This window comes from Homo sapiens, chromosome X (genome assembly GCF_000001405.40).
Source record: "Homo sapiens chromosome X, GRCh38.p14 Primary Assembly".
NCBI classification, from domain to species: Eukaryota; Metazoa; Chordata; class Mammalia; order Primates; family Hominidae; genus Homo; species Homo sapiens.
In genome coordinates this window covers 97,841,206-97,850,191 of record NC_000023.11, presented here as the reverse complement: position 1 = coordinate 97,850,191, position 8,986 = coordinate 97,841,206, and the positions used below count along the sequence as shown (strand labels likewise).

General features: G+C 52.7%; 1 protein-coding gene across 1 annotated transcript; it reads right to left on the bottom strand.

Annotated features, from left to right (window-relative positions):
- Nucleotides 1-810: 810 nt before the first annotated feature.
- Nucleotides 811-8,446, bottom strand: ERVFC1 (endogenous retrovirus group FC1 Env polyprotein). Its single transcript, XM_011531085.3, has 3 exons — nucleotides 8,222-8,446; nucleotides 6,381-6,561; nucleotides 811-3,676 (listed from the first exon to the last, which is right to left on the bottom strand). The coding sequence occupies exon 3, from the start codon at nucleotides 2,927-2,929 to the stop codon at nucleotides 1,175-1,177; it is 1,755 nt and encodes a 584-aa protein (XP_011529387.1). The 5' UTR covers nucleotides 2,930-3,676; nucleotides 6,381-6,561; nucleotides 8,222-8,446; the 3' UTR covers nucleotides 811-1,174.
- Nucleotides 8,447-8,986: the final 540 nt, after the last annotated feature.

Genomic DNA, 8,986 nt, shown 5'->3' with positions numbered 1-8,986 from the left:
AATAGAGAGCAATATAGAACTTGCCAATATCAGTGTCTTGGCAACTGAATATATAGCAATTTGGCTGGTTACATTGTCCCAGTTACACTTTAGAAAATAAGTTTCTTTTTAAACATCTGTTTGCTCAAAACTCTTGGGTTTTGTTAATGGTAGTATTTAAAGAAAATTATTTTTAGTTGACATTTTCCATTTTAACAAGGAATGAGCAAACCATGTGTTGTTGTACTACTCTGTCTTTGCACTCATATGAGGGAGGTCGTGGGCTCTGGTGTCTGCTGGTGAAGTAGGTGCTTGGATTAATCTTAGCTTGTCTGGCCACGCCCTTCCAAATCTTCACATTCCACAAAGTCTCAAGACACAGAGTAAGAGTAGCCTCGCTATACCCCATGTTGGAACCTACCTTGTTTATGTTTGAAGAACAGATTTCCCTCACTATCTAAATAATAGAATATACAAATCTTCTAGTTTATTGATGCTCATGTGAAATACAGATTATTGACCTATTATTCAGTTGTAGACTCGGTGTTTACTGAACTCATCAATATGCTGAGCATTGTGCCAGCCACTTTGACGCACTTGGTCTTATCGAATCCTCTCAGCAACCTTGTAAAATAGGTGCTTTTATTCCATATCACAAATGAGTAAACTGAGGCTCAACGGAGGTATGTACTTGCACATAATCATACAAAGGGGCATTCTGAGTTTCTGGAACTAGTGTTGCCTTGGCAACTAAACCATTCGAAAACAAATTTTGTTTTATTCATTTTTGTCCGGCTTGGGAAGACAGGTATCCAATGAGAAGTGCCGCACAGAATTTAGGTAACTAATGGTCAGAGGCGACCTGCTTTATTAATGGAGCTCTCGGGCGAGGTTCACTGGTCCTAACAAGGAGGGCCAGGGAAGTCGCACCCGACTGGGGCAGTAGAGGGTTTTTATAGAGCGTGTGGGGAGGGGCTTAGTAAGTTTCGGTTTTCTGGGATAGGTTTCGACTTCTCGGGGCTGCTGTCATCGGAAAGTGCCCGTCGGGCGGGAAAATCTGGTGGGAGACTCCAAGCGGTGGGGGGGGCGGGGAAGAAGGGGTTCGTGCCGCCATCTTGGGTCCTGGGGGAACAGCCATCTTGGGTGACCTGCCTAACATTCCGACCTCATACTGTAAGAAAAAGGGGCGACGTAATCATCTGGCTGCTTCCTGCTGAGTGAGGGCGTCGTCATAGTGGTCTTCGGAGGTCGGAAGACGGGAGTAAGGGTGTAGTAACATTTGGTTGACCGTCACCCGGGAGACTTCGCTGATGCGGTTTTTGATGAACTTGAGGACACAGGGGGCTATGAGAAGTAAAAGGCAAATGATTAGGATGGGGCTTATGAAAGGGATAATCCAAGTGGTTAAAGGGGATTGCCACCACCCTCCTCCATAGTTGGGAGTTGAGGAGGGTCGATGGAGACCGTCCCGGATTTTATCAAGGGTGAGGAGGCTGGTTTCTACTAAGCCTGATTCATTGATGTAATAACAGCACTCTTCCCCGAGAAACATGCAGGTTCCGCCTTTGTCGGCTGTGAGGAGATCTAGGGCTCTCCGGTTCTGCATGGCCACCTTGGCCACAGACGTAATCTGTCTCTGTAGAGAGGCTAAGGATTCGGCTGAGGCTTCGATGGCCATCTGGAGCTTAATAGAGAGATCTTGGGAAGAGCTTATGAAATGTACAATAGCACCTGTGCCCAGCCCGGAGGCAACAAGTGAGGAGGTCAAGGAGACACCTATTACCAGCGGTGGGAAAACGGCCCGCTTCTGACGCATAGGCGGGTTGACAAGGGAAGAGAGTTCAGCCTCGCTGTACAGAGTGAGTCGAGGCACCAGAGAGATGGGGAGGCATAAGTTTCTAGAAAGGGTATTGTTAGAGGAAATATTAAGATGTTTTGTAAGGGTGAAGTTACACCAGAAGTAGCCACCTGCCGGTGCAGAGAGGTTAGATAGGGAGCCAGAATAGGTCTGGTTGCACCAGGATGAGTTAGGAGTGGTGTAGCAGAAGGGGAACTGGGGCTGGAGGGGGTCTCGGAAAAGAGGGACCTGCTCAGAGAAGACGCCGGAAGGGTGGGCAGTGTGGTTACCAGAGGTGTTAAAAGCCTGGGGTAGGGGTACAGCTACTAGTGGTGGTTGGCTGAGGGCGGTGCAAAGGAAACAGTGGGAGAGATTAACTAGGCCTGCCATATTAACAAGGCGAGCCCCGTGGCGGACTAGGGTTATCCATGAAAACGGTCCTGCCTCAGCCTTGTCATCATAGGTGACCATGTCAGCCTTCGGATGGGACTGCACCAAAGTATTGATGACCTCTTCCTGATGCTTAATGTTGTCTGCTTGGTCCTTTAAATTAGACAAAACCTGGGGGATAACTCGTATATAAGTCAGGAATATCCGGAGTTTGCCAACTGGGTAGGAGTCGGTGGGCCACCGGTACAGTCGACCAGTGACTCCACTGACCCACCGAGAATCCCATGGGTCTGGGATGGTCAGGAAGTAAGTTGTCCTTCCATCAGATGTCAGGCGATAGGTGTGTTGGAGTTTCTTGGCGGTATGGAGCTGGGTCACATGCATACGACAATAGGCATAGGGGCATCCTCCGTTTGTGTCCACCCAATAGTCGCGGCAGTTGCTGTGTGTTTGATCATAGACAAAGCAGATGGTGGGATTGGACCAGCCCCGCAGAACACTTTTAAAGGAAGTGAAGTTAAAAGTTACTTGGGCCTGACAACCGTGAGGTTGGCAGTCCACCGTTGCCAGTGTGACAGTGGAGAGCCGGTTGCCTTGGGTCCAAGTCTCATGCAGGTAGAACCTCCATCGGAACGGGGGTTCAGTTAGGAGGGAGTTACTGGGCACTATGGGGGTTAGGAGGGTCAGGAGGAGTAGGAGGCATAGTGGGGAAGGTCTGGCCATGGGTGATACGAAGCCGGGTTGGGGTGAGTTTTGAGGACCAGTCGTGCTGAGTCGGTGCTTTCTTCAACTGTGACAAATGATACCAGGATGGTAGACCTAGTAACTTAGTGGCCCTCGGAGTGGTGAGGATCACGGTGTAAGGGCCTGACCACCGCGGGGTCAAGGTCTTGGACTGTAGTTCCTTAAGGAGGACACTATCACCTGGAGAGAGCACAACAGGGGCGTCCGGGGAGGAGGGGGTAGGTTCGGGGAGGCAGGCGTCCGCGTGCTTGCGGAGAAGGTCGCGAAGGAGGGTCAGATAAGGAAGATAGGACGCGAGGGGAGGGGGCGAAACAGTGGGGGGAAGACCAGGAAGTAGGAAGGGGCGTCCGTAGAGAAGTTCGAAGGGGCTGAGCCCTGTGGGGCCCCTGGGAGCTGCCCGGAGGCGGGTCAGGGCCAATGGTAGGAGGGTGACCCACGACAGCTTTGTTTCAAGAGTAAGTTTTGTAAGGTGTTCTTTGAGGAGGCTGTTAGCCCTTTCTACTTTACCAGAGGATTGAGGGCGGTAAGGGATATGGAGCTTCCATGTGACGCGGAGCGACTCGGATACTTGCTGAGTGATTTTTGAGACGAACGCGGGGCCGTTGTCTGATTGCAGGGATCGGGGAAGTCCAAAGCGAGGGATGATATGTTCTAGCAGGACAGAGACTGCGACTTCTCCTGTCTCACGTGCAGTGGGAAAGGCCTCAATCCAGCCTGTGAAGGTATCTACAAGAGTAAGAAGGTAGCGGTAATGCTTGTGCCGCGGCATGTGGGTGAAATCTAGCTGCCAGTCCTCTCCTGGCTGATGCCCGCGGAGCTGGTGATGGGGCCCTGGGCGCCTAAGTCCTCCTTGTGTGTTGACTGTTGAACAGACAGCACAGGTTTGGTGTACCTGGTGAATGAGGGACTGTAGGCCGGGGCATAGAAAAATTGGTTCTAAGAACTGATGTAAGAGTTTTGGGCCTATGAGTAGGGTCTTGTGCACATCGGTAATAATAGCCTGAGCCTGGGATTCGGGGAGGGCAATCCGGTTATCGACCCAGATTCAACCGTCTTGGTCGGTCATTCCTTTTAAGTTGGAAATGAGGTGGAAGGTCTCCTGTGGAGAATAGGCAGGGGTGCGTGAACCGGACAGGAACATTGCGGGAGCTGGGGCAGGGGCAGAAGTAAGAGCAAGAGACTTAGCAGTAGAGTCGGCTAGATTATTTCCTTGAGCAACAGGGTCTTTTGAGTGCTGGTGACTTTTGCAGTGTATGATCGCCACCTCTCGGGGCGCCTGTAAGGCATTTAAGGGTTTATGGATAAGAGGCCCGTTGACGATTGAAGTCCCTTTCATAGTAAGGAAACCTCGCTCCTGCCAGAGAACAGAATGCGTGTGTGCAATGAGAATACGCATACTTGGAGTCAGTGTAAATGTTGACCCGCTGTCCCTGAGAGAGGAGTAGAGCCCTGGTAAGAGCAAGGAGTTCAGCCTTCTGCGAAGTGGTCCCAAGGGGTAGGGCTGCCGCCTCCACTGTTTTGTCGTGGGTGACTACGGCGTAAGCTGCCTGTCGCCTACCGCAAGGGGTGAGGACTGAGCTGCCATCGACAAACAGAGTGCTGTCAGGATTAGAAAGCGGTCGATCGAAGAGGCCAAGTCGGGAGTTGGGGTTAGAGGTAAGGAGTTCGGGACAAGAATGCGACAGGACAGGAGGGGGCTCAGAGGCTTCTATGGGAAGAAGTGTAGCAGGGTTAAGAGGTGGTGAGGCGGTCAGGGTGATATCTGGGTTTTCGACAAAGAGCACATGAAACAGCTGTATTCTGGAGGGCGCCAGATGGGCCAGACATTTGTGAGAGAGTACATCTGTCAAGCGGTGCGGGGAGTATACTGTGAGTGGGTGACTGAGAGTAAGTTTGAGGGCCTCTTTGGTAAGCTCTGCCGCCGCTGCTAAGGCCCGCAGGCAGGGCTGCCAGCCCCGAGTGCTGGGATCAAGCTGCCTGGAAAGGTAAGCCACCACCTGATAGGTGGGTCCTACCGGTTGCCCTAGTAGGCCAGTAGCAACTCCCTGCAGTTCATCTGTGTAGAGATGAAAAGGCCGCAGGGGGTTCGGCAGGGATACAACTGGAGCTGTGAGTAAGCACTGCTGCAGCCGGTGGAAATGGCGGGCCACTAGGGCGGGATCAGACAGAGGGCTGGTGGGTGTTTCTTTCGCCGCCTGGTACAGGGGCTTAGCTAAGACCCCGAAGTTTGGGATCCAGTGCCGGAAGAACCCTACTAGCCCTACGAAGGAGAGGATCTTATCTGCGTCCTGGGGAAGTTGGAGGTCTTTAATGAGGCTAACTCGGTCTGTGGTGAGGCTTTTGGTGGTGGCGGTGAGAGAAATGCCTAGGTATGTGACTGTCGGGGTGCAGAGCTGAACTTTGTGAGGGGTAACTCGATACCCTTGTTTTCCTAAGAAATTAAGGATTGTGGCTGTATCTTGCTGCGAGACAGACAGGGAAGGACTGCAAAGGAGAAGGTCATCAACATACAGGAGAAGGGTGCTGTCGGCCAAAGTGCATGTACTGAGGTCTTTAGCTAGAGCCTGTCCAAAGAGGTGAGGGCTGTCTCGGAAGCCTTGCGGGAGAACGGTCCAGGCAAATTGCGAGGAGACATGGGTGTCAGGGTCTTCCCAGGTGAAAGCGAACAGGAAGTAACAGTCAGGGTGGAGGGGGATAGTGAAGAAATCATCTTTGAGGTCAAGGACCGTGAAATGGGTGGTGGTCGGAGGAATGCGGGATAGGAGAGTGTATGGGTTAGGCACTACAGGAAAAATGGGGACGACAGCCTCGTTGATGATGCGAAGATCTTGCACTAAACGGTACGCACCAGAGGCCTTACGGATGGGCAGAATGGGCGTGTTGCAACGGGAGTTTACCGGGATAAGGATGTGTTGTTGCAAGAGCCTGGTGATGATAGGTTTTAACCCTTGGCGGTGTTCAACTGAGATGGGGAATTGTGGCCGCGAGGGAAATTTGGTAGGGTCCTTGAGTTTGATCATTATTGGGGCATGGTGTCGGGCGATGGAGGGGGTTGAGATGTCCCATACTATTGGATCAACGGGCACAGGGAGCAATGGGATCGGCGAAGGAGTGTCATCGCTAAGTGCCAGCAGAGGAAGCAAAGAGATTGCACTGGAGGGGAGGCTGGGGTGCAACCGAATGGAGGCCCCTAACTTAGACAGCAAGTCCCTTCCGAAGAGCAGGACGGGACAGGAAGGGATAATGAGGAAGGAATGGGAGATGAGAGTGTCGTCCAGCCGGCAAGACAATGGGGGGGGGGTCTGACGATGGGTGGAAGGGGTACCGTCAATCCCCACTACCGTGACCGGGGACGGGAAACTGGACACGCCGAAGGAAGGCAAAACAGAATAGGTAGCCCCCATATGCACGAGAAAAGATATGGACTTACCTGCTACCTGGAGCGTTACCCTGGGCTCGGCAAGAGTGAGGGGGGTTCCCGAGTCTGGGCCTCTTCAGTCGTCGTCCATGCTGAGTAATTGGAAGGCGCCACCGGTCGTCTCGGAGTTTTCACAGCGTAGAGGCACTGTGGACGCTCCGACGCTGGGGCACTCAGACTTCCAATGTCCCATCTGGTGGCAGTTAGGGCATGGTCGGGTCGGTTCCTTAGGGTACGGGCATTGTCAGGCCCAGTGGCCTTCGTTCCCACACTTGAAGCAGGCACCAGGTGGCGCTCGGTGGCCGGAACCCCCTTTCGGTTGGCTCCCGGAGCCGGCCAGCCGCGGGGCAGCTACCAAGGCCTGGGTCTGGAACTGTACCTTCTGCTTTAGCCTTGCCTGTCTTTGGGCCTCAGCCGTCTCCTCCCTGGAATTATAGACCCTGAAGGCCATTTTAACTAGGTCCTGTATTGGGGTTTGAGGGCCTTCCTCCACCTTTTTTAGTTTTTTCCGAATATCTCCCGCTGATTGGGAAATGACATGAGTAGCCAAGACAGTGGCCCCTGCCGGGGAGGTGGGATCAAGGCGGGTATACTGGATGAGGGCCTCAGTAAGGCAGTTAAGGAAAACTGCTGGGTTCTCGTCAGACCCTTGAATAATCTCCCGTAATTTGTCAAAGTTGACCGTCTTATTGGAAGCCGCCTGCATGCTTGCCAGAAGGCACTGAACCATTTGGTCACGGCGTCGACGGCCAGTCTGACCAGCTTGGTAATCCCAGTCCGGCTCGGCTGCCGGTACTGCTAGGGTTCCGACAGGCATGGCGGGGTCAGTTAAATGAATTTGGTCGGCATGTTGCCTAGCCACCGCCTGGACTCGCTCCCTCTCCTCTGGGGACAGAGTGGATGTTAGGATAATATGTAGGTCACGCCAGGTGAGGTCATAAGCCTGGCATAGGTACCTAAATTGTTTGATATACAGGGTTGGGTTGGCAGAGAAGGACCCAGGCCGCTTCTCTATTTTAGATAAGTCAGTAAGAGAAAAGGGAACATGGACCCTGACCACGCCTTCCGCACCGGCAACTTCACGGAGCAGACACAAGAGGTCCGTCTTCGACCGAGTGTGCGCAGATACAGGGGAAGGCGGTGGCAGAGCAGAAGCGGGAGGGTTAGCGGGAGAGGAAGGTGGTGTAGGAGGTAGCGGAGGAGCCGTTGGGGTGGGGCCAGAGGATCCTGGATAGGGAGGAGGGAGCGCCGCTGGCAATGGTGGTAAAGCGAGGGCTTCAGGAGGCTCGGAGAGAGGGGAGGAATCAGGTTCTTTGTTAGAGGGGGATGCCTTAGCCAGTAACACCTGTCCAAGGGAACACTTGGCACATAGGTCAGGACGAGAGCGTAGGTCCCAAAAGGCTTGTACATAAGGGACCTCTGACCATTTGCCTTGTCTTCTGCAAAGGTTGTCTAGGTCCTGTAAAATTTGGAAATCGAAAGTTCCTTCCGGCGGCCACCGAGATTGGTTGTCCAATTTGTATTGCGGCCAAGCGACCAAGCAAAAGAAAATGAGTCGCTTCCGCTTAAGGTCCATACTGAGGCCTAGAGCTTCAAAGTTGGCTAGGAGACACCCCAGGGGTGTCTTAGGATCAATTTTGGATTGGGCACCTCCCATTGTCCTGAGGCGGGCGATTCAAGGTCAGGGAGGGGCATCCCCCAACCTTCCTTGAAGCGCGGATGGCGGAGGCCGAGGAGGACGGACGTCTCCGCGTCCTCGGTCCCGTAGTCGGAAACTGATGGGGGGAAGACTCTGAGTGGCCGCGATTACAGACAGAGGTTCCCGGGGCCTACAGGACGGAGGGGAGACTTACCCAATAGCAAAGGCCGAATGCGCTGGCCCGAGTCTGGTTCCTGGCAGGTAGGGAGAGGAGATGCTCCCCGACCCTGGGTCAGAGAGGGGTCTCCTCCCGGGTTTTGGCACCAATGTCCGGCTTGGGAAGACAGGTATCCAATGAGAACTACCGCACAGAATTTAGGTGACTAATGGTCAGAGGCGACCTGCTTTATTAATGGAGCTCTCGGGCGAGGTTCACTGGTCCTAACAAGGAGGGCCAGGGAAGTCGCGCCCGACTGGGGCAGTAGAGGGTTTTTATAGAGCACGCGGGGAGGGGCTTAGTAAGTTTCGGTTTTCTGGGATAGGTTTCGACTTCTCGGGGCTGCAGTCATCTGAAAGTGCCCGTCCAGCAGGAAAATCTGGTGGGAGATTCCAAGCGGGCGGGGGGCGGGGGTGGGGGGAGAAGGGGTTGGTGCTGCCATCTTGGGTCCTGGAGGAACGGCCATCTTGGGTGACCTGCCTAACAATTTTATGTTAATAAAACCAATGTATATTCATGGCAGAAATATCTTAGCATAGAAACAAGAAAAAAGAATGAAAACAAGAAAAAGGAAAAGGAGAAAAAAAAAAGATAAAAAGCACCCATAATAAAAACCATTTAGAGGCAATTACTGGTAATGCTGTATGTTCTTCAGGCATCTTTCTATGTATACTTTTAAGGGATCATACTGTGGGTCGTTTTATAATCCTTTTTCTCAACAATAATGATCATATTCTATGCCAATAAAAATAGAAATCATAA